This window comes from Homo sapiens, chromosome 15 (assembly GCF_000001405.40).
Source record: "Homo sapiens chromosome 15, GRCh38.p14 Primary Assembly".
Lineage (NCBI taxonomy): Eukaryota > Metazoa > Chordata > Mammalia > Primates > Hominidae > Homo > Homo sapiens.
The window spans coordinates 66,294,804-66,320,803 of record NC_000015.10 but is presented as its reverse complement, the minus strand read 5'-3'; the positions used below and the strand labels follow the sequence as shown (position 1 = coordinate 66,320,803).

General features: G+C 42.6%; 1 protein-coding gene across 14 annotated transcripts in view, besides 1 other annotated feature; it reads right to left on the bottom strand.

Moving 5' to 3' along the window:
* Positions 1–26,000, bottom strand: part of DIS3L (DIS3 like exosome 3'-5' exoribonuclease) — a 40,590-nt gene that overhangs the window by 13,095 nt on the left and 1,495 nt on the right. For 6 of the 14 annotated variants that reach the window (NM_133375.5, NM_001323936.2, NM_001143688.3 and 3 more), the window contains exons 2-9: positions 25,663–25,816; positions 13,852–13,980; positions 11,960–12,095; positions 8,904–9,080; positions 6,687–6,765; positions 5,589–5,768; positions 2,186–2,355; positions 72–233 (exon numbers count right to left, since the gene is read on the bottom strand). In NM_133375.5, coding sequence (NP_588616.1) covers positions 72–233; positions 2,186–2,355; positions 5,589–5,768; positions 6,687–6,765; positions 8,904–9,080; positions 11,960–12,095; positions 13,852–13,980; positions 25,663–25,706 — 1,077 coding nt within the window. In that variant the 5' untranslated portion in view covers positions 25,707–25,816. Of the gene's footprint in view, positions 1–71; positions 234–2,185; positions 2,356–5,588; positions 5,769–6,686; positions 6,766–8,903; positions 9,081–11,959; positions 12,096–13,851; positions 13,981–15,136; positions 15,261–25,662; positions 25,817–26,000 lie in introns of all 14 variants that reach the window. The other 8 variants (NM_001323938.2, NM_001323941.2, NM_001323946.2 and 5 more) reach the window with 4 other exon arrangements.
* Positions 21,287–21,787: an enhancer, noted in NCBI's record as "H3K4me1 hESC enhancer chr15:66591355-66591855 (GRCh37/hg19 assembly coordinates)". NCBI's record gives its function as "activates a minimal SCP1, AML or CMV promoter by ChIP-STARR-seq in naive and primed H9 embryonic stem cells {active_cell/tissue: H9 hESC(naive and primed)}" and the evidence as "EXISTENCE:reporter gene assay evidence [ECO:0000049][PMID:30033119]".

Here is a 26,000-nt window from a genome sequence, read left to right as displayed (position 1 = left end):
TCTTAATGATGAAACAACAACAAAAGCAAAAAGAAAATGTCACTAGATCAAAGCCTTCTGGAAAATCTGACCTGAGCTTCTGAGAAAGGAATAACTGAAATACTGTTTTCCACCAGGATGGTTGCAATTTCCCCTTCCAGATCTCCGATTCTTCCTAAAACACGCACAAAATGTCCATTTGGATACACAGATGTTGACTCCCAGGAATCGATGCGCACGACCACCCTGAAGTCCTGCACAAAAGGAAAAAATAAAACACAGCTGAGCACCAGGAGTTAAGTGGGTCAATTAGAGGCATCAAACAAACAAGAGGCAAACAATACTGGGTTCCAAGGAGAGTGGCCAGGTGCAAATAGTGGTGTATGGTAGGGTTTTTTTTTTGTTTTTCATTCTTCCTATTACTAAATTGCCAGATGGTATGAAATGCTTGACCCAATGCTTTGAAGGGAGGCATTACCTCTCTACATCAATGAAGAGGGCTGGAAATTTTAGTCTGCTGAAGAGAGCCGTAATATATTCTAGTTAACTGTAATATATTCTAGTTAACGCTTGCAACACTAGGGGAAAACTCAATTATGCATGCTCCAAATTAAGTTTTAAAACAACAATCTTAATGTTTTGTGTGTGGGAGGTAGTTCCTAATTTCTTTGAAGTCTATTTTATTTTATTTTATTTTTTTCGAGATGGAGTCTTGCTCTATCAACCAGGCTGGAATGCAGTGGTGCTATCTTGGCTCACTGCAGCCTATGCCTCCCGGGTTCAAGTGATCCTCCTGCCTCAGCCTCTCACATAGCTAGGATTACAAGCGTGTACCACCATGCCCACCTAATTTTTTTTTTTTTTTTTTTTTTAGTAGAAATGGGGTTTCACCATGTTGGCCAGGCTGGTCTTGAACTCCTAGCCTCAAGTGATCCACCTGCCTCGGCCTCCCAAAGTGTTGGGATTACAGGCATGAGCCACTGCGCCTGGTCTCTTTGAAGACCTCTTAAGATGGTCTTTGGTGGAGAAGAAGGTGTCGTGTAAACTGAATCCCCACTACCCCAAAATTCCAGCAAACCATGGGAATGGAAAATGTATTAGGTGCAACTGGCCTGGAGAGCCTGCATAAGGCTTCAAGATGTAAAAGCACAATGGCTAGGTTACTGGCTGGGGACATCCTGCTTTAGTGTCTCATTTACAAACTGTAAAATATCAGGGGGAATTAAATTGGGCAATGCCCATACTTTTTGACACAAGTAAAGGTTAATTTCTAACCTTCTTGTTTATGTCTTCTCTCCAGTGCTATATTCCTTTATGGATAATCAATTCTGTGAAGTACCACTACATCATCCCTACAGGGCAGAGTGATCGTATTTCTATATTGCTTGCTGGAGGAAAGCTTGTTAGTGTTGGCAAAGTGTATCTATAGAAAGTTTCTATGTTGGACAGCTGGATAATGTATGTTCTCTCTGGTTGTCCTACACAGCTCTTTCTAGGACAATTTCTCTCTGGCCTGAATTTATTAACCACAGACTACTTAATGGATGGTTTTCATATATTTAGAATTTTTAAAAAACAGAATCTTGGGGCTGGGCACAGTGGCTCATGCCTGTGATTCCAGCACTTTGGGGAGCCAAGGCAGGAGGACTGCTTGAGGTCAGGAGTTCAAGACCAGCGTGTGCAACAAAGTGAGACCCCATCTCTACAAAAAAAGAATTAAAAAACATAAAAACACGGCTGGGCATGGTAGCTCACACCTGTAATTCCAACACTTTGGGAGGTGGAGGTGGTGGATCATGAGGTCAGGAGTTTGAGACCAGCCTGGCCAACACAGTGAAACCCCATCTCTACTAAAAATACAAAAATTAGCCGGGCGTGGTGGCGGGAGCCTGTAATCCCAGCTACTCGGGAGGCTGAGGCAGGGGAACTGCTTGAACCCGGGAGGTGGAGGTTGCAATGAGCTGAGATCACGCCACTACACTCCAGCCTGGGTGACAGAGTGAGACTCTGTCTTGGAAAAACAAAAGAACAACAACAAAAAAACCCCAAAAAACACATCCCAGTATCTTGGAATGCCAGATGCCATCAATAATTTATTTCTTTATATGCAAAGGAATTAACAATGCTTTCTGGTACTGCTAAAAAGCTGGTAAAGACAGAAGGAGAAAGCGTAGAGATCCCATAGTAGAGGTAGAATGCCAACTACCTGGAGGGTTTCTGCTTGCTGAGTGCTAATTCGAATTTTGGGAATTCTGTAATCCCAAGGTGTAACCAGGATTTTCTGAGCATTTTTGCCCTGAGATTGGACCTCTTCTTTGGACGGAAATGTCACCACATAATCCCGCCAGTTCTTCTGAAGTATGCCCACCACTCGACCTTTGGCAAAACAAAACAAAACAAGGCATTAACTGGTTAGGTGCCATCTATCTGGACTCTGACCACCTCAAGCAGTAAGGAAAAGAACAAGAAATACAGTGTCCTATTTTTTTTCAAGCACATCCACCCAACTCAAGAATGTTTTTGAAAGGAAGCTTTTATTAACAACAATAACGGCCAGGCATGGTGGCTCATGCCTGTAATCCCAGCACTTTGGGAGGCTGGGGCAGGAGGATCACTTGAGGCCAGGAGTTCAAGACCAGCCTGGCTAACATGGTGAAACCCCACCTCTACTAAAAATACAAAAATTAGCTGGGCATGGTGGCGTGCGCCTGTGATCACAGCTGTTTAGGAGGCTAAGGCAGGAGAATCGCCTGAACCTGGGAGGCGGAACTTGCAGTGAGCCGAGATGCACCACTACACTCCAGCCTGGGCAACAGAGTGAGATGCCGTCTCAATAACAAACACATAAACAAAAACCAAAACACACACATAACAACAACAAGAAAAGGTATGTTTGAAGATTTGCCTTCTTGGTATTTTATTTTAAAGATGGATAATTTAAAAACACTTTTTGTTTTTGTTCGTTTCTTTTTTTTTTTTTTTTAAGAAACAGGATCTCACTATGCTGCCCAGGCTAGAGTGCACTGGCTATTCACAGATACTATCATAATATGTTACAGTCTCAAACTCCTGGGCTCAATCCATCCTCCTGGGTAGCTGGGTCTATAGGCACGTGCCATCATACCCAGCAAAGATGGGTAACTTTTAAAATAACATTGTCAGTATGCTCTCTCTTCCTGAGATAACATTTAGAATCCACTTGTCCCATTTTCTCTCTTTTGCCATTATCTTATCAATCTCATTTTGGTATATTGGGAAAAGTCAATGATTTTCACTCTTGTTTTAAACCGTGCCCTCAACTGCGCGTTTTCAGTCTTTCTTGCCTTCTCTCACCAGCTAACCTTATTTGGTCCATTATACACAGAAAAGTGTACAGATCATAAGACTGATACACAACACTTTCAATCATCACTGACTGAAGCCGAGACCAAACTTTAATAATTAAAAATGTTCTCTTTTTTCTTTTTTTTTTTTTTTTTCCCACAAATATTTACTGAGCTCCAACCAGGTATGAGGCTTTGTTCTAGGTACAGGGAATATAGCAGCACCATAACAGGCAAAGTCCTTGATTTCAAGGGGTTTATATAAAATCAGTTTGGGTGTCTGTGGGGGTGGAAAATAGACCAAAAAAAAAAAATGTGAAGTTGTGACAGTTGCTAAGAAAGACACAAGGTAGGGTAAGGTGATCAAGAGTGACAGAGGGTCAGAAGTGGCAGCTATTTTAAATAAAGTGACATTTGAACAGTGACTTGAGGGAAGTGAGGAAAACAGATGTGAGGATATTTGGGGAAAGCTTCATCCAGGTGGTGGAAAGAACAAGTTGTCACTGCGGCTGGAGCAAAGCATGAAGAGGAAAATGGCAGAAGGTGGCCTCAGCTGGTGGGACCATGCAGGCCATGGTAAGGACTTTGGATTTTATTCTGAGTGAAACAGGAACCAGCCATTGAGGAGTTTTGAGCAGAGAAATGACAGGAGCCAACTCTTGCTTTCTTTTTCTTTTTTCTTTTTTTGAGACAATGTCTTGCTCTCTTGCCCAGGCTGGAGTGTAGTAGCATGATCTTGGCTCACTGCAACCTCCGCCTCCTAGGTTCAAGCGATTCTCGTGCCTCAGCTTCCCAGTAGCTGGGACTACAGGTGTGCACCACCTCGCCCGGCTAAGTTTTGTATTTTTAGTAGAGACAGGGTTTCACCATGTTGGCCAGGCTGGTCTCGAACTCCTGACCTCAAGTGACCCACCCACCTCAGCTTCCCAAAGTGCTGGGATTACAGGCATGAGCCACAGCACCCAGCTCAACTCACTTTCTGAAGGATCATTGTGTCTTTGAGTGGAGAAAAGACTACATGGGGAGGGGCAAGGGTGGGAGCAGGAAGAGCAGTGAGGAGGCTGCTTTGACAATCCTGAGGTGCCAGTGGACTGAAGCAGGAGAGCTGTGGGGGAAGTATGGCAGGTGGCTGAATTCAGGCCATGCATTAGAGTTGGAGTTGCCAGCATTTACTGATGAGTAAAAAAAAAAAAAGTCAAGGATAACCCCAAGGTGTCTTGGGTTGACCAAGAATGAATTTGCCCTTTACTGAGACTGGGGAACACGTGGGGAAGAGCAGGTCTAGGGGTGAAATCAGGAGTCTGTGTGGGACACGTTAAGTCTGAGATGCCCATTAGACGTCCAGGGGAAGATGCCAAATAGACAACTGAGTAAACAAAACTGGAAGCCAAGGAAGGGCCAGAGATTAAAATTAAAATTAAAATTAAAGGACTGCAGGAGATCCCTGAGGGAGAGAGCGCAGAGAACAGAAGATCCAGCATGGGGCCCTTGCACATACAAGAGGACAATGAGATGGAGAGCCAGGAGGAGAACTGAGAAGAGCAGCCAGCAGGGTGGGAGAACTGGGAGGAGACCCAGGGAAGGCAGAGGGCCCCTGCCAAATGCTGCTGACAGCTTCCAGACGATGGAGGCTGACCAGTGCTCAGGCAATGGGGTCACTGGTGACCTTGGCAAGAACAATTTTAGAGGAGTAGGGCTTGGGAGGTGTCAGAATGGCAGGCATGAGAGACCAGCAGAGAGGAAGAGAGAACGTGGAGTTAACTATACTCTGACTTTAATGATAAGGGGCAGCAGCTGAAAGGGACATGGGACTCAGGGAGGATTTTTGGTTTGATTTTAAGATGGAAGCCATTACAGCATATTTGGGTGCTGATAAGAGTAAAATAAACCTGCAGAGTGGGAAAATTGATAATGGAGAGGAAGAGACTATATCTCGTGTTAGGAACTATTATTGTACAACCTGTGACTATAGTTAATAACAATGTACTGTATTCTTGAAAATTGCTAAGAGAGTAGATCTTAAGTGTTTTCATCACATAGTGAGGTTAATGCATAGGTTAATTAGCTCAGTCTAGCATTCTCCAATGCATTATATCAAAACATCATATTATATTATACACAGTAAATACACAAAAATCATCATATTATACACAATAAATACAGTTTTTGTCAATTTAAATAAAATAAATAAATAAAATAAGGGCAGTATTTCTGGATTGCTAAAGAGGAGACAAATATAATTCCACAAGAAAAATGGACATCGGAGTGGCTCTGCAGCTGGCTCACCTGTAGGCATGGGCTCACTTGGGGACTCGCCCGAAGCCTTGTCGTCACAGTCATTCTCACACAGGGCTACGGTTCTTCCTTTCCATTCATTTTTAGGAAGCAGCTCCACAACTACCACATCTCCATGAATTGAGCGGTTTCGAGCCTTCATCCCGTGGATTAGGATGTCACTGACTAAATCTGTGTTTGGGGCAGCACAGAAAAAACCCATAAAGCCAAGGGAATGGCACACCAGTGAGGCATTCCGCGCATGATATACTCGAAGTCTAATCAGTACTCCTGCAAGTAAAGCTTTTTCTTTTCAAAGGTAGAGTCAAACTTTTGTTCTGCAGGTTAGGAATGAAGAATTGCTGGCACCATGTCATACTGTATATTGAGATTTCATAAGTGCCACCCTCAATCATCTTTCAAAAAAATATCCCCATCCCCTTCACCACCTTTTAAAAAGGTATTAGTTCCCTGCATGCAACTATGTGAGCCTATGCTGGACTTCTGTCAAATACCTTTAGGATCCTACACAGCCAAGGGATTGGTCAGTGGGCTGAGGAACTATAGATAGGGCAGAACCGACAGGGGGAATGCTGACGAGCAAGGGCCCGAAGAAAGCCAGTTTCTCATTCTCTCTCCACCCAGCCATGCTCCTTTGACTAGCAGGGTTTCTTTTTCACCCTGTCATTACAGAACTAAGAACTACACCTGATTATGATACAACTTATTTACACATTTTTTCATTTTTATTACTTAAAAAAAATTTACTCCAATAAAGCAATATAGCACATTGAGGCAGCACAGACTAATATGTTAAAATCACAGCCAAACTGCCTTGGCTACAAATTCAACTCCACCACTTACCAGGTGTGTGACCTTGGGCAAGTTACTTTGCTTCTCTGTGTTGTAGTTTAAATTTATTGCAATAAAATCAGAAATTATAGACAAAAAGCTAGGGGAACCACCCCCCGCCACAATCTCACATACCCAATGTATGTAGGCATACATAACAGGGCACATATGACATGACAATTTCAACTTTGCTTTCTTCATTGTATAACGTCAGAATAAAAAAGGAGTATGGAAATTTATGTAAGGTTTATACTGAACCTGAATCTTTACTGCTGGCTCCTTGAAGTCGAACAAAAGCTTCTATTTGGGCTCTGTGTTTGTTGACATTCAGAATTCCCTAAAATCATAATTTAAAAAATCAATATGAAAAATGTTCTTTTCCGCCTGGTTTATCTCCAAAAGGTCCAGTTTTTAAAATTATGTGAAAACATCCCCATAATATTCTTTTAAGGTTTGTGATCCCTTTAGGAACTATATATATATATATACACACACATATATATATATATACACACATATATATACGCACACACATATACACTTTTTTCTTTTTTTCGAGATGTACACACACACACATATATATATACACACACACATATATATATACACACACACACACATATACACTTTTTTTTCTCTTTTTGTCGAGATGGAGTTCTGCTCTGTCACCCAGGCAGGAGTGCGGTGTCACAATCTCAGCTCACTGCAACCTCTGCCTCCCAGGTTGAAGCAATTCTCCTGCCTCAGCCTCCCAAGTAGCTGGGATTACAGGTGTCCACCACCACGCTCAGCTAATTTTTTGCATTTTTAGTAGAGACAGGGTTTCTCCATGTTGGTCAGGCTGGTCTTGAACTCATGACCTTGTGATCCACCTCGGCCTCCCAAAGTGCTGGGATTACAGGCATGAGAAACCATGCGTGGGTAGGAATAATATTAATCACTAAGGTTTATTTTCTTTGGAGAAAAATACCATCATTTTGAACTACTCTTAGCTATACAAAGTGCTGAAAGTACCAGGCTCTATCTTATGTAACTGATGAGTAGTCTTTTAAAAATCTTCTATCTCAAAATATCCTCCCAGGGGCTAGGCACGGTGGCTCACGCCTGTAATCCCAGCATTTTGGGAGGCTGAGGTGGGTGGATCACGAGGTCAAGAGATCGAGACCATTCTGGCCAACATGGTGAAACCCCGTCTCTACTAAAAATACAAAAATTAGCTGGGCATGGTGGCGTGTGCCTGTAATCCCAGCTACTCAGGAGGCTGAGGCAGAAGAATCACTTGAACCTGGGAGGCAGAGGTTGCAGTGAGCCGAGATTGCACCACTGCACTCCATCCTGGTGATAGAACGAGACTGGGTCTCAAAAAAATAAAAATAAAAAAATAAATTAAATTAAATTAAAATTAAAAAAAGTCCTCCCAGGAATGCCATAAACTTTACTACTAAGTTGGAAACATTAGCCTCTCTAGACATACTCATTTAAAATCCCCACACTTTTAGGGAGTGGCTTTGGAGTGATGCTCTTAGATTGTGGTTGACAATCTACTGAGTTGCTCATTAGAAATGCAAAATCCACGATAGAACAATTCTGTATCTTGATTGTGGTGGTGGACACACAAATCTATGCATGTGATAAAACTGCATAGAGCTACACACACATACACACATAAATGAGTGCATATAAAACTGTTGAAATCTGAATAAAAATTGTATCTGATTCCTTCCCAAGACCCTGACAGCATCTGAGTTCTAGGGTCCTGGGAGGATCACAAAGAGGCCCTTGAAAGGGGCAGAGAAAAAAATGGCAAAGGAGGAAAGAAGCTAAATTTCACCAATTTTACAACATCACCAAACCTCCAGACCTTGATTCAAAGAGGTATGTTTTTTTCTAGTGACAGGAGGCATTTACCAGGCGACTTCCACAGTCTGCTTGTATGATGTTCAATATGTAACAGAATTAAGGACATCATCGCAGAGTAGCTTCAAGCTGGGCAATCAGTGTCTGGAAAGAATGACTCCCAAGCCACCTGAAACACTGACAACCCTGACTTACTCATGCCCATCTTGTTTGCAGCCTGTGAAATCAGAGGCCTGTGACAGGATGCAGTAAAAAGAGGAGAAAACATACTGGCTGGTCCTGACAGATTCTTTTTTTTTTTTTTTTTTTAATTGAGACAGGTTCTCACTGTCACCCAGGCTGGAGTGCAGTGGTGCAATCATGGCTCACTGCAGCCTCAACCATCCAGGCTGAAGTGATCCTCCTGCCTCAACCTCCCAAGTAATCTGGGAGTACAGGTGCACACTACCACGCCTGGCTAATTTTTAAATTTTTTCTAGAGACAGGGTTTCACTATGTTGCCCAGTCTGGTCTCCAGCTCCTGGGCTAAAGCAATCTATCAGCCTTAGCCAAAGTGCTGGGATTACAGGCATGAGCCACTGTGCCCAGCCCTGACACATTCTAAATTACCACCCTCACCTGGATATAGCGTCCAGATTTAATCCCAGCTTCTAACACTTCCAGGGGAAGATGTTCTGGGTACTCCTTCCCATGGCTCTCCTGACTCTCATTCTCTCTCTCCCGTCGAGACTGAAGGATAGAATCACAAAGCTCGTGGGCAGCTTTTAAATCAGGCCAGAAATTGTCCAGGTAATTCTGTATTTAATAAAGGCACAGAGAAACACGGTCAGAAGGTACTGATTCTTCACCATGGTACTATGACAGAAACTCCTGACTAGGAATTGCTGGCCTGCCATCTTGAGGGGGTGCTCAGTGAGCAGGACTTCCTGAGCCTCACTCCACCATTCATTCTCTACTACCACATTAACCCCTGAGCCTGCCAAATGAGCCCCAGGAAGCCACTCCACCGTGGAACACTTCCACCTCCTAGGCTACTTTGTGCTTTCAAGTCTCTTTCTCTCCACACACACCACATACACACCTGCGCACGTCCAGGCAGCCTGTCTTTATGTGTATCTAATTGCTGCAGACAATGGCCTATATGTACTTTTTTTTGAGACAAGACCTCATTCTATAGCCCAAGCTGGATGCAGTGGCATAATCTTGGCTCACTGCAGCCTTGACCTCCCCCTGCCTTAAGCAATCCTCCCACCTCAGCCCCCCAAGTGGCTGGGACTAGAGGCGCATGCCACCACACATGGCTAATTTTTTTATTTTTTGTAGAGATGAGGTCTCACTATGTTGCCCAGGCTGGTCTCAAACTCCTGGGCTCAGTGATCCTCCTGCCCTGGCCACCCACAGTGCTGGGATTACACTGTGCCCAGCAGTATGTGTACATTCTTGTCTTTTTTTTTTTTTTTTTTTTTTTAAGGGACAGGGTCTTGCTCTGTTGCCCATGCTGGAGTACAAGTGGCGTGATCTTGGCTCACTGGTCTTGCTCTGTTGCCCATGCTGGAGTACAAGTGGCATGATCTTGGCTCACTGTAGCCTTGACCTCCTGGGCTCAAGTGATCCTCCTGCTTCAGCCTTCCAAAGTGCTGGATTACAGGCGTGGGCCACTGTGCCAGGCCATTCTTGTCTTTTTTATGTATTTTAACTCAACTTTAAGTCTGAGGGGTAGAGTCTAGCACATTCTCTCTTCTCAAATTGAAAAGAAAACAGGTTATACTTTCTGTCAACTCCAGCATTTCTCCCACTAATTTCAGAGTCCTGTTCAAACTGCTTCCTTTCTTTCCCTACTCCTTCCAGAAATTCTGTCTGTGCTAATGTCAGTGCCCCAATTCTATGGTCACTTATCACTTATCAACACTACACTTTGTCATTATGAACTACGTCTTCAAGAGGGATTTATCATCTTGGCTCTTCTCCATCTAACTTCAAGTCCCCACAGAGAATTCTAGGCTTCCCTTTCATCTGAACTTCACAATATCTCTTTTTTCTACTATCATTCACCTCTATGGAGCCCTTGGTCACACAGTTTTCTTGAGAAACACTATAGAAAATAAAACTGTACTATACCACTGGACTACAAAGAAAAGTAATTTTCAAAAAAGTAGAAAAATGTAATTTTAGTCAACTGTCCTCTGCAGGAACAAGACATGATGTATTGCAACAGAAAAAACAAGTGACACTGCCATTAATATCCAGCGCCCCTGGAATTCTCTGGCATGCCAGAGCACTTTCTTATAGCAGGGCCAAGAAAATTCTATTGGCAAATCTTTAGCAATATATGCACCTGGGAACCCTTACAGAATCTGCAATTCAAAACCCAACTAGACTTTCTATAAACTGACAGGGGTAATACAGGGCCTTATTCTAGTTTCTGCACCAAAAAGTGATATCAACAAGTGAAACCTAATTGACCAGCTGGGCAGACAGAAGCGACCAGCGATCTGTTGAGAGATTAACAGTCATCCTACTCTCACAAAAGGTACCTAAGAGATAGGAAGAACTGCGTTGCTGAGACAGCCCAAAGAAACAGTCACTGATAATGCCACTCCTGTCTGAGATCTGTACTAAGCAGATCTGACAGCATTCACATAAATAATATCACATCTCAACCCTTTCATTTATCCCTATTAACCCCTATGAACATTCACAAGTGGGGAAGAGTGAAGAACAGTTGGAAAAAAAGACTGGCCTTTAAGACAGTTTGTTTCGTGTGCATTTTCAGAAAAATAACTTGGAAGGCAGTATAGCATGGTGGCTAAGAGCTTTGGGGTCCGATTGCCTGGATTTTAACCATAGCCCTACCATTTTCTACTGTGTGACTTTTAACAAGTTACTTAGCCTTTCTGTGTTTCCATTTCCTTACCAATAAGATTAAATTATAATACCTACCTCATAGGGTTGTTGCAAGAATTAAATGAAATAATACACACAGAAAAGTGGCTGGCATAGATGTGTTGGTTATTACCATTAGGTAGAACCATGTCAAACTGCCATTTTATAGGTCAACAATAAGAATATTGGCAATTTTATTCAACCTATTATCATCATCATCACCATTACTATTACTGTTATAGTTATAAATGTTAGTTTACTGTCAGTAGGAGTTTACTGGGCTGGTATTAGATGCTGTGGGCCTTATAGTCAAAGTTGGTCTGAATTTGTGAAAGTCAACATTAAATAGTTGGGGCATAATGAAGAAGTAGAACTTCATTTGTTGAGACAGGGTCTTACTCTGTCACTCAGGCATTAGTACAGTGGTGTGTTCACGGCTCACTGCAGCTTCCATCTCCCAGGCTCCAGTGATTCTTCCATCTCAGCCTCTTGAGTAGCTGGGACTACAGGTGCGTGCCACCATGCTTGGAGATATATATATTTTTTTTTTTTTTCTGTAGAGACAAGGTCTCACTAGATTGCCCAGCTGATCTTGAACTCCTAAGCTCAAGTGATCTTCCCATCTCAGCCTCCCAAGTGCTGGGATTACAGGCATGAGCCACCACGCCTGGCCAAAATGGAACTTAATGTCTATTCCTCTTTTCTCTTTTCTGTGTTACCAAAGGGATCTAGAGCCTTATGGGTACTACTTAGAAAATGAGCACTCATACATATACAATATCTGGAAATACCTTGAAAGTAATCACGAATACTCCTTCTGTTTCACTTCCATACTGCTGAATTGCCTCTTCATCTTCTGTCACCATAACAATTGGCATCCTGTCCTGGCAGTGATGATAGTACCAAACAGCTGCGTTGTATATGCTCCTGGAAAAGCAAAGGGCACATGAGCTCTCCCCAGGCAGACAAACACAAGCTCTTGTTCAGAATTTCACATCTGGCTTTTGCTATCCTTTGGACTATATAGATAACCATTCATTCGTTCAACAAATACTTCTGGAGTATCCATTATAAAGAAGCCCTGGGCTGGGTGCTCTGGGGGATACAAATATGAACCAGAAAGAACCTGACTTCTCTTCCCTAAGACATCCAACCACCACTGCAACCACTTTCATTTCTTGATATGGCCTAGAAACCATGAGGCTCTGCCATCTTTTACACCATTTAACTGGGGCAGCACACAAGATGACAAGCTATATTATGTGAGGCTTAAAAGATGAAGAAGCAAGTCTTTGGCTAAGAGAAAAACTAAGGTGCAAGTAGCTGAAGATCATAATCCAATAGGGTCTGATATGGAACCATATGGAATGCCTGGAAATCTTCCAAAAAAGAACCGGAACTGGGAAACAGAGAACTGGGAAACAGGTCTGGAGAACTGTGTGCAGGACTGGATTGACTGACTGATTGAGACAGGGTCTTACTCTGTCGCCCAGGCTGGAATGCAGTGGTGAACAATGGCTCACTGCAACCTCAATTCCCAGGCTCAAGTGATCCTCCTGCCTCAGCCTCCTGAGTAGCTGGGACTACAGGTGCACATCACCATCCCTGGCTAATTTTTAACTTTTTGTACAGATGGGGTCTCATTATGTTATCCAGGCCGGTCTCGAACTCCTGATCCTCTTGCCTCAGCCTCCCAAAGTGTTGGGATTATAAGCATGAGCCACCATGCCCAGCTTTCAAGGTAACTTCTGAGGCACATTCCGTGTGGCTCCTCAGCAGCACTGATGGAGTCTTCGTTTCCTACAGCAGCAGCACATCCTTCACCACCTTCCCTCCATCTCCATCTCCATCTCACTCTCCCCGCTTCTTCACTCCTGCTTCTGGGAATTGCTTTCCACATAAACACTCCACACTCAAGGACTCACTTTAGGCTCTGCTTTCAGCAGACTTAAATCAGGACACTGTGTTTCCTGAAGCAGCTTTTTCAGAATTAAATGACCAGTTTCAGTTTAATAAGACTGGGAGTAGGAGCCTGGCCGGGCACAGTGGCTGACATCTATAATCCCAGCACTTTGGGAGGCCAAGACAAGTGGATTGCTTGAACTCAGGAACTGAAGACCAGCCTGGGCAACATAATGGGACCCCGTTTCTACAAAATATACAAAAATTAGCTAAGTGTGGTGGCAGCTACTTGGCCTATGTTCCCAGCTACTTGGGAGGCTGAGGTGGGAGGATAACTCGAGCTCAGGAGGTCGAGGCTGCAGTGAGTTGTGATCATACCACTGCACTCCAGCCTGGGTGACAGAGCAAAAAACCCTGTCTCAAAAAAAAATTAAAAAAAATAAAAAAACAAAAAAGGAGCTCTTCTGCCTTCTCCATACATACACGCATTAAAGTTATGACTTCTAGTTCACTGGAATGATCCTGACAGCTGCTAGGGTCTGGGGCAAACATATTCTGGGTACCTATATCTTCCTAACTGCAATTTTTAAAAAATGTATCAGTTATATATTCAAATGATATATCTAAAATATTGACATGGTAAGCATTTCGGTGTTAATCATGGTTCCAGAATAATTGTTGGTTTGTTCTAGCAGACTATTTAGATCAACTCCCAAACAGCCAATGATGAGGAAATGAAAGAAGACGACAGTGTGAAAACAGCAGCAAGTCAGGGCCATACCTGGTCTGCCACTTCTCCATGGACTCTCCTCTTTCCCGTGGCAGATAGCAGCATTGCTGGAATTCATTAGCAAAGAGAATGCAATCATGACGCGCATCCTTCAGCAGGTTTCGCAGTTTGTTATACTGTCTGTGACACGGAGGAGAAAAATAACTCTAACAAAGCAGGTACTCATCCACTGCTATCTCTTGCTAAGGATCAAAAAAGGATGGGGTATTTTAGAGCAAAAGATTGATTACTTTAAACCTGAAGAACATGTATTTATATTGGTCTCAGTGTGCTCAGTCCTATCGGGCTGCTATTGTTTCTCGATTTTGCCTGCTAGAAGGTGCTTGGGCAGGGCCTAGTTAATTAGTTTGCAGATCAATTAAACTCCTTCCCTCTCCTTTCCCCTTCAGAGACTTCCAGCCATTTTATTATGTAATTATACCACCTTGCCCTGCCTAGCCCCTTCTTCAAAGCCTGAGTGCACGGAGGCAAGCAGAGAGTTTAGCACTTTATTTTTGGACCTCACTTTGTTCTATAAATGTCATTAAGCATTAATACATTTGACTTTTTGCTGGCAGCCCTAGACAAGAACATGTAAGGTAAATAAGTTTGGGGATTTATCTGTGAATTTTATTTATGCAGCCACCCTGATTTACATAAATGAGAGCTAGCCTCATCTGTCAGACAACTAACAGAAAGTTTTAAGGTTTTGTCCATCAAGAGATCCTTCCCATGGCCGAGGAAGGAGAATGGTTTGAGGCCAGGAGTTCAACACCAGCATGGGCAACATAAGGAGACCCTGTCTCTACCAAAAAATACAAAAATTAGCGTGGTAGCGTGCACCTGTAGTCCCAGCTACTTGGGAGGCTGAGGTGGGAAGATTGCTTGAGCTTGGGAAGTCAAGGCTGCACTGGGCCACTACATTCCAGCCTAGGTTACACAGTGAGACCTTGTCTCAAAAAACAACAACAAAAAAGATCCTTCCCACAATGCTGGCCGAAGCCATAAATCAAACATCAAGTCTCCTATGGGCCAGTTTCTAAGAAGGTGCTTTTCAATAGTCTAGATACTATAAAATTACAGAAAACACTCAGTTATGTTAAAGGGAGTCAACTGCTTATTTAAAGATGAATTTGCTGGGTGTGGTGGCTCATGCCTGTAATCTCAGCACTTTGGGAGGCTGAGGAAGGAGGATTGCTTGAGCCCAGGAGTTGCAGACCAGCTTGTGCCAAGTAGCAAGACCCCATCTTTACACAAATTAAAAATACAAAAATTAGCTGGGCATGGTGGTACGTGCCTGTAGTTCCAGCTCCTCGGGAGGCTGAGGCAGGAGGGTCCTTTAAGCCCAGGAGTCTGAGGCTGCAGTGAGCTATGATTGTGCCACTGAACTCCAGCCTGAGGAACAGAATGAGACCCTGTCTCTAACAAAATAAATATAAAATAAAAATGGATTCATATTAAATCAGATTTAACATGTGTTTTAATATAATAACATTTGTACCCTTCCTTCCACACCTCCAGCCTGCCACCATAGGTTTTAAAAATTGAGTCTTTTCGTTGAAGCAAAGGCCGAACTCCCCAACGAATCTTGTTAAATGCATAAACACTGATCACCAATCTGTGTGGTCTTACACTTTATTAGAAAACAAGAAATAGATTTCACTAGGGCTGGGTGCGGTGGCTCACACATGTAATCCCAGCACTTTGGGAGGCGAGGCAGGAGGATCACGAGGTCAGGAGATCGAGACCATCCTGGCTAACACAGTGAAACCCCGTCTCTACTAAAAATACAAAAAATTAGCCGGGCGTGGTGGTGGGTGCCTGTAGTCCCAGCTACTCAGGAAGTTGAGGCAGGAGATGGGCGTGAACCCTGGAGGCGGAGCTTGCAGTGAGCCGAGATCAGGCCACTGCACTCCAGCCTGGTGACAGAGCAAGACCTCCGGCTCAAAAAAAAAAAAAAAAAAAAGAAATCGATTTTATTTTCTTAGTAATTCTAATTTTGAGTCACTGTGAAAAGAATCATAAATAGCAACTTATAAAATATCCTTTTTTTTTTTTTTTTTTGAGACGGAGTCTTACTCTGTTGCCTAGGTTGGAGTGCAGTGGCACGATCTCGGCTCACTGCAACCTCTGCCTCCCACGTTCAAGTGATTCTCCTGCCCCAGCCTCCCGAGCAGCTGGGATTACAGGAGCCCGCCACCATGCCTGGCTAATTTTGGTATTTTTAGTAGAGACGGGGTTTCACCATGTTTGCCAGGCTGGTCTCAAACTCCTGACCTCAGGTGATCCACCCGCCTCGGCCTCCCAGAGTGCTGGGATTATAGGCATAAGCCGTCACGCCCGGCCATAAAATATCTTAATAAACAAAGGGATTCAGTTTCATTTCTATGAAGGGCAGCTTTTCTTAACAGAATTCCACTTGTACAAACAAAAGCTGTTCCCTCACCTCTCAAGATGCGTAGAACATATTATATCAGTAATTTTCCCACTTTCACAAAGACACTATATTTTTGAGACAGGGTCTCACTCTGTCACCCAGGCTGGAATGCAGTGGCACGATCATGGCTCACTGCAGCCTCAAACTCCTGGGCTCAGATGATCCTCCCACCTCAGCCTCCTGAGTAGCTGGGACTACAGGCACACCCCACTATGCTCGGCTAATTTTTGTATTTTTTTTGTAGAGACGGGGTCTTGTCATGTTGCCCAGGCTGATCTCAAACTCCTGGGCTCAATCGATCCTCCTGCCTTGGCCTCCCAAAGTGTTGGGATTACAAGTGTGAGCCACCATGCCTGGATAAAGACACATTTAAAACTTATTTTAAAAGCCTCTTAGAAGAGTCTATGCCATATTGTTTTTTTTTTTTTTTTTTTTTTTGAAACAGAGTCTCACTCTGTTGCCCAGGCTGGAGTGCAGTGGCACAATCTCGGCTCACTGCAAGCTCCACCTCCCGGGTTCACGCCATTCTCCTGCCTCAGCCTCCCGAGTAGCTGGGACTGCAGATGCCCACCAAGACACCTGGCTAATTTTTTGTATTTTTAGTAGCGACGGGGTTCACCGTGTTAGCCAGGATGGTCTCGATCTCCTGACCTCATGATCCACCCGCCTCGGCCTCCCAAAGTGCTGGGATTACAGGCATGAGCCACCGCGCCCGGCCTACACACTGTTAACAGTTTGGGCAGGCTTTCACTTTCTGCCTTACACAGTTCGGTAATGCTTAGAATTTTAAGAATGAGCACTTATTTGTTAAGTAATAGGAACAATTTTTGGAGTGATTTCATAAGCATCTGCAATTTGTTATTTCAGAGAAAACATTGAAAAAATATTGCCTGTGCTTCCTTTGTCCCCTAGAAGTTTTTATTCCCTTTACCTACCATCATATTTTGTGCACCATTACAAAGTATCTGAACTTACTGTAGTTATTTGTTTACAAATGATCTCTCTTGCTAAGCATCCTTCATTTAGAAAATCTTTGCTTCTATGTGCCAGGTCTGCTGGGGGAGGTGAGGGGTGCTGCACTGAATGCCCTGGGGAATACCAACTAGACATCCCACTGCATCTGAATAGTGTCCTACGGCATAGATAGGGCAGTGCCCCATGTCTGCAGCAAAGAAAGGAAAAATAGACATACCATACGATCCAGTAATCCCACTTCTGGGTATATACCCAAATTGAAAGCAAGGACTCAAACAGACATTTGTATACCTATGTTCACAGCAACACTACTCACAGTACACAGGCAAAAGGTGGAAGCAATCTATCAATGGATGAATGGATAAACAAAATGTGGAATATATTATTCACATTTAAAAAGGAAGACAGTTCCAACACATGCCATAACATGGGTGAACCCTGACACATTATGCAGAGTGAAATAAGCCACTCACAAAAGGACAAACACTGTGTCATTCCAGTTACATGAGGTACTGAGAGTAGTCAAATTCACAGAGATGGAAAGTAGAATAGCAGAATAGGGGCCAAGGAGGGGAGACAGTGTTTAAGGGGTATAGAGTTTCAGTTAGGACAGATGAAAAGTCCTGGAGACAGATGTTGGTGATGGCTGACAACAAGGCATATGTATTTAATGCCTCTGAACTGTGCACTTAAAAATAGTTAAAATGACAACTTTATGTATGTACATTTTACCACAATTTAAAATAAAGCTATGCTACTTGGCAAAAACAAACCAAACATAAGACAGAACCACCCATTTCGGTGGGATAAGTGCTTGAAAGGAGAAGATGGGAGGGATGGGAAGGCTTCCTGGAGTAGGTGACCCATGAGCTCTGAAGGATGAATAAGAGTGAGTGGAGACAAAGAGCCCAAGAGACGAGAGCAGGGCGGAATGTGCGAGACAGCAGACAGTAAGGCTTTACTTCAGTGCTTTACCCCCAGGTGCTGAATCAATGCTTTCCAAATGAACAAATGAATGCACAGCCCTACATGATAACAGTGATCCAAGTGCAGGGTAATAACGCCCCTGAATAAACTGACATTTCCAGAGCCCCGTTGCCTTTTGCTAAGCTTCATAGACATCACTGCATTTGTTTTCACACCTTCACTTCAGACCCAGGGTTTTTGTTTTTGCTTTTGTTTTTTTGAGACAGGAACTCGCTCTGTTGCTCAGGCTGCAGAGCAGCAGCGCGATCATGGCTCCCTGCAGCCTCAAACTCTCAGGCTCAAGTGGTCTCCCACCTCAGCCTCACAAGCAGCTAGGACTACAGACGCAGGCCACCATGCTCAGCTAATTTTTTTGGTTTTTTTTGTATTGAGACAGGGTCTCACTATGTTAGCCAGGCTGATCTCAAATTCCTGAGCTCAAGCTATCTTCTTGCCTTGGCCTCCCAACGTGCTGGGCGTGAGCCACCGTGCAGACCCAGGGATTCTTGAATTCTGTTCTCTGCAAATACTGATGTGTCTGCCACAAGCCAGACCCAGGGGTTACCACCAGATTAGAGTAATGACAATCCTTCCTAATATTTAGAAAAATATATCACTTAACAAAAAATGTTCTCAATTTTAAGTTTCACTCCCATATATATTTTCTTAGACTTTTAGTGCAAGCTTCCATTTGTCAGCTACCTATCAGCCAGATAAAACAAATGAACAAACGGCAAAAGAATATTAATGCAGAAAGCAGGAAACAAACAGCGAATCACTCTGAGTGTGACAGTCAGGTTTGCTTGTAGACATGTGGGCTTACAGTTATAATTTAATAGCGCATACATATGATATAGTCATATTTTTTGCTAGTCAGGATTTTGTAGTGCATATGATGGGACCAGATAGATGAACATCCTGCACGGAGTCAGCAAACAGCACCATGTGCCTTAAGCGAATTCGACCAGAATGACAGGAGAACAATGGTTTCAGACAGTCAAGTACAGGTCAGGTGTGGTGGCTCATGCTTGTAATCCTAGCACTTTGGGAGACCGAGGCGGGAGGATCACTTGAGGTCAGGAGTTTGAGACCAGCCTGGTCAACTTGGCAAAACCCTGTCTTTACTAAAAATACAAAAATTAGCGAGGCATGATGGTGGGTGCCTGTATTCCCAGCTATCTAGGAGGCTGAGGCAGGAGAACCGCTTAAACCCAGGAGGCAGAGGTTGCAGTGAGCTGAGATGGCACCACTGCACTCCAGCCTGGGTGACAGAGCGAGACTCCTTCTCATAAATAAATAAATAAATAAATAAATATAAATTCAACTCTTGCAGAAAAACCTTAGTTCCTTGGACTGGCTTGGATGTTTTCTAAAACTCCATCATCTTAATGTTTTAAGCAATTTCTCAGAGGGGCAGTTAAACCTACCTTCTTTAGGTTGATTTTTTTTACTATTTTTATTCAGTGGTGACCTTACCTACAGATGCAACATCCCTTTCCGCTGCTGACTGTTCTCTCTAAGGATTAGAAGTGGGAGTCCCACACCAGTGGAAAGACCTACAAAGTGAATTCTGTACTAAATGTGTTTCATCACCTGGATTTTGCAGAACCCAGGTAGGGTCTCACAGACTTACCTTCAGACACCACTGAGTTTTCCACAAGTTTATATTGCCATTTATATTAGACAATACTCACAAAACATTTTTATGGAGTACATTTGGGGCCATCTGAACGACTGCCTTCTAACTGCACTGCCATTTGGCGTCAGTGCGGCCCTCTCAGATGCCCCAGAGACACTTCAAACTCTCGACCTTGACTCCCCTGCCCCCAGGCTTCCTCTAGTGTTCCCTCTCTCCATCCAGTCATGTAGGCCAGAAACCTCAGTGATACTCTTGACCCTACCTTCCCCGCCATCTCACATACCTAAATCTATCACTAGTTCTAGAGATTTTAAAAAAGAGCAGCTTTATTGTACCTAAATCTATCACTAGTTCTAGAGATTTTAAAAAAGAGCAGCTTTATTGAGATATAATTCACATACCATAAAATTTGCCCTTAAAACACACACAGTTCAGTGGGTTTTAGTATAGTCACAGTTATGCAACCATCACCGTCGATCTAATTACAGAACATTTTAATCACTCGGAAAAGAAATCTGTATCCATCCATTAAGCAGTCATTGCCTGTTCCCCTTGACCCCAGCCCCCGGCAACCACTAATCTACTTTCTGTTGCTATTGATATACCTGTTCTGGACATTTTACATAAATGGAATTATACAACATATGATGTTTTTATGTGTGCTCTGGCTTCTTCCACTTAGCATGTTTTTGTGGTTTATCCACACTGTAGCATCTATCAGTACGTCATTCCATCTTATGGCTGAATAATATTCCCCTGTATGGATAGTCCACATTTTGCTTAACCATAATCAATTAACGGACATTTGGGATGTTTCCATGTTTTGGCTATGATGAAGAAAGCTGCCATGAACATTTGTGTATGATGTTTTCATTTTTATTTATTTATTTATTTTTGGAGATGGAGTCTTGCTCTGTCACCCAGGCTGGAGTGCAGTGGAGCGATCCTGGCTCACTGCAACCTCCGCCTCCCAGGTTCAAGCAATTCTCATGTCTCAGTCTCCCGAGTAGCTAGGACTACAGGCGTGCATCACACACAGCTGGCTAATTTTTTGTATTTTAGTAGAGATGGGTTTCACCGTGTTGCCCAGTCTGGAACTCCTGAGGTCAGGCAATCTGCCCAACTTGGCCTGTCAAAATGCTAGGATTACAGGCGTGAGCCACCGCGCCCGGCTGTGTATGATGTTTTTAGTTTCAATGTTGACATGTTTTCAATTCTCTTAGTTATACACTTAGGAAGTTTTATATATTTTTACCTATTAAATACTCCTTGGAAACATCTATTTCTCTCTATCTCTAAGCTACCAACATTCCCTCATCTGGACTAAAGCAAAAGCCTCCTCCCTTCTTTTTTCCAGGCCTCTTCTCTACCTGGCCCAGTAATCCCTTTTTTTTTTTTTTTTGAGATGGAGTTTTGCTCTTTTGCCCAGACGGGAGTGCAACGGCGTGATCGTGGCTCACTGCAACCTCCGCCTCCCAAGTTCAAGCAATTCTCCCACCTCAGCCTCCTGAGTAGCTGGGATTATTACAGGCACCCACCATCACGCCCAGATAATTTTTGGATTTTTGTAGTGATGGGGCTTCACCATGTTGGCCTGGCTGGTCTTCAACTCCTGACCTCAAGTGATCCACCCACCTCCACCTCCCAAAGTGCTGGGATTACAAGTGTGAACCACCGCTGAGTAATCCTTTCAGGACAGGAATCTGATCATGTTATCCCATTTTGCTTAAAAGTTTTCCCTGACATCCCTGAGGCCATGAGGCCTTCCATCCCACCCAGGCATTCTTTCTGCTCCTGGGGTGTGCCACAGGCCCCTCCCCATGGGCCCCAGGCATTTTCCTCTGCCTTGAAAGCTTTCCTCCACTCTGCCTGGTTTATGCCAACCCTTGGACCTCCACCTAGGCGTCCCCCTCAGAAAAGCCCTTCCTTGCCTCCCTGGGTGGTCTGGGCTCTCCTGGCGCCCCATCCCTGTGCTTCAGTGCATTTGTCACAGTTGCAGTTCTGCATCTGTTTGTGTAATTGCCCGATTACTGCCTGTCACCCTGCCAGGACTCCATCTGCTTTGGTTCGCCACTGTACCCTCAGTGCTAGCAGTTTCTGGCACATATAGTCTCTTGGTGAACATTTGTTGAATAAACCAACACACATGTGAACACATGAACATGGTGGACAAAACAGCCTTACAGAGTTGTCAGGGGGACTCCTCATTAAATAAGCATTTATTTGAAGATTATTAGATGGCAGAACATGTGATTATCCTGAACGACTTAAGACCTGACATTAGTCATACTGTTCTGTGCAATACACTTATGAGAACAAGCATTCTCTGCATTGATATTATTGAAGTCAAAATAGGAAATCTTATTACAAATATAACCAGATTAAAGGCTGTGTCTTTCCATTGTTAAACCTAACTCTGGTGATTTTGTTTCAGCAAAACAATGTTATCTGTCACGTTGAATAATGTTCATTTGCGGTTTTCTGATTTTGTTACTTTGATTATTTAGCTTACACTAGGGTTGTATTAAAGTACTTAAACATGAGGACTTATACCGAGATTTATGTTTAAACACATTTAAATAACAATAGAAGAAAATAACACTGGGTATCCAGGAGGATTTTTTTCTTTTAGAAACAAGATGGATATATCACTCATGTTGAGAACACTGAGGTACTGGATGGGGAGTTAGATCATGTGACCTTTCAGATCTCTCCAACCATAATATTCTACAATTTCAATCTTTTTTTTTTTTTTTTTTTTTTTTTTTGAGACGGAGTCTTGCTTTTGTTGCCCAGGCTGGAGTGCTGTAGCATGATCTCGGCTCACCACAACCTCCGCCTCCCGGGTTCAAGCGATTTTCCTGCCTCCGTCTCCTGAGTAGCTGGGATTACTGGCATGCGCCACGTCATCTCGCGCATTTTGTATCTTTAGTAGTGACAGGATTTCGCCATGTTGGCCAGGCTGGTATCAAACTCTTGACCTCAAGTGATCTACCTGCCTTAGCCTCCCAAAGTGCTGAGATTATGGGCATGAGCTACTCAGCCTGGCCTGATTCCCATCTTATATACCATCAAGAAACTGAGGCATGAAATATGGAGACTCTCTGAAGCTATACAGAAGGAATTCAGGAGGGAGTCAAAAGGAACAAGCAAAGCATCCTACACCAGACACCAGACAGGACCAGGGATTATTAACTGACAAAACTTTCCTAACCAAGAATGTTCCTAAAAGCATATTGGATAAAATGAATTATTTACTTGCATCTCAAAAATGTCCAAGGAAGAAATGAAAAACAAAACAAAATGTTCCCCAACATTAAATGAACAAAACACTAGAGAGCTTCTGCTAGGCCAAGTTCAGTTAAATATAAAAAGTTAATTATCACCAAAAAAATGTTAAGTATGTAAAGTAATGCATATGCTAATTAGCTTGATTTGGCCTTTCCACAATGTATACATATTTTAAAACATCATGTTGTATACCATAAATATATATGATTTTTAAAAATAAGTTTTTTAATAGAGACAGGGGTCTCACTATGTTGCACAGATTGGTCTTGAACTGGGCTCAAGTTATCCTCCTGTCTTGGCCTCCCAAAGTGCTGGGATTATAAGTATGAGCCACCAGGCCTGGCCAAATACATACAATTTTAATCTGTCAATTAAAAAAAGTCAAATAACTTACACTTAACACTTAGGAAGGCTGAATTAATCAAGCACATCTCTCAGATCTTATGTATTCAATGCCTATTATTAATTTGAAAGTTAGCCTTTAAGAAATGACACTTTCTAGTGCTCAGACAATTTGGGTCATTTAGCTATGTCAACCTGAAGGCACCTGCTGGTTGCTTAACAGGTAAACAAAGTGCCAAGTCCCAAATTTGCTGATTTCTTCCTCTTCTTCAATCATACTCGTAATACGCCTTAAAGACCAGTCTCAAATCCATTTCCCCCAAAGGATTTTTTGGCCTAATTGCTCCACTCCACGTTTACTTCTGCACTTTGCATAGTCCACGTTAAATTATCCTTCGTGTGTCTAAGGCGCTTCATAATAACTGTCTTGTTTCTTCTATCTAACCCCAGCAAGACAATAGGTTTGTTGTTAGAGGGACTAAGACTGATTTTGGGCCGGGCACAGTGGCTCATGCCTGTAATCCCAGCACTTTGGGAGGCTGAGGCAGGCGGATCATGAGGTAAGGAGTTCAACACAAGTCTGACCAACATGGTGAAACCCCATCTCTACTAAAAATACAAAAATTAGCCGGGCGTGGTGGCGTGCACCTGTAATCCCAGCTACTCAGGAGGCTGAGGCAGGAGAATCACTTGAACCCGGGAGGTGGAGGTTGCAGTGACCTGTGAGCCGAAATCACGCCACTGTACTCTAGCCTGGGCGACAGAGCCAGACTCCATCTCAAGGAAAAAAAAAAAAAAAAAAGACTTCTTTTTTATTCCCCAAGGCCTGGAACTAAGAGCTTAAAAAGTGCTTACCCAACGAACAAAATCAGGGTGTTATCATATGGCCCTATTTCATAACTCCTCATCTTTTGTTTTCACATTTAGTATATTCAAAGACATGGTAAGGCAGTGGAAAACCAATAGTTTTTCATCAAGTTAACTACTCTTGAAATGTTCAGGAGAAAAAAACGTTTAAATTCCAACTCTTTGTCTTTGAATGTCCCAGGAACTGGTTTCTAAAACAATCCTTAACATTAAAAATATTTCAGAAAACAGAAGTTGAAAAGGCTCGCAGTGTGTTAGCAATCTGAATGATAACAACAAATTGATTTTAGTAGCAGAAACTGAAATATGACACCTGGAGCAGCATTTAAATTTGGATGTGTATAAACATCTATATCTTGGTGTCTGAACAAAATCAACTTGAAGATCATTTAAAAATATTCTATCTGAAAAAACCTGCACACAATCTGGTTAATGTATGTTTTTTGAACTGAGCATATAATAAGAGGACAATTTTTTGCCATTTTCATATACAAATAAAAACACTTCATCTTTTATCACTAAGGCCTGAAGAAACCACAACATTTTAAAAAAGAATAAATGCATAGTTGGTGCTTATTAAATAACTTAGAGTGTTAAAAGGTTGGACGTATAATTCTAATATGCTATTTCCATACAGTTTTAAGTTCAAGTCATAAACCTTTCCCAACATTAAAGGAAGCAAAATCGTTTTTCAAAGTATTTGTTTAAAAGGTAGACAGCTATTCTTCATTTAAGTACTAGGCAAGAATTTTAGACTTGTTCAATTAGAAAGCCTTTGTTTAGCAAATACAATGACTATGGCTGGTAGTTACACTAGTAATCTAAAAATAAAACAAGCTATTTCTGGTTTCATTGAATAAATCATTACAAGTACAATTTGCATCCCCAATAAAAGAGTCTAAAATTTAAAAATAAAGTACTCTTTTCCCCAAGAAAAGAACGTATGCTTCTGAAACAATGTATCTATAAATAAGATTAAATAATACACATTATCAACAAGAAATAAGCAATAACCCTGCCACTATAAAAATGCAAGCCAAAAGACAATTCACACTAGAATCTTAAATACCCACATACTGGGGACACTGCAGTTTACTAATCTACAGTCAGATCTCTTGGCCAGGTGTTGAAGCAGAAATATAAAATAATGTTACTGCATTCCTCACTATCAAAGAGAATACGAAATTAGTTTTAAAAGTCCCTTCTGACAAAATAATGAATTCCTCCCATCCCCCTCCGACAAGGGACCTTTTCTAAGGTGGGGGGAACCTATGCCATATAGAAATAAAGAATGCAAAACGTATACCTCCTGCCTCTTTGATGCTGCACAGCTTGACAAGCTGTCTGCATGAAAATAATTCCCTTCAACTCAGGAAACTCAAGGATCTCAAGATAATCTTGAACAACTTTCCAGTCTGGGATCACGTAATGAGTCACATCACTAGACAAGAGTTTCCCATCTGAAACATAATTCAAAATGTAAGAGATTAGACAATGTTTTCAAACCTGGTTTATTTAAATGTCACGGTGCTCTGGCATGCAAAATAACTTCCAGTCTTAACTCCATGGTGGGAGTTTTTAAAAGACAAATCTACTTTGGTAGAGGCCCAAAGTTCAGGTATATTGAGCACCCTCATTTTTTTG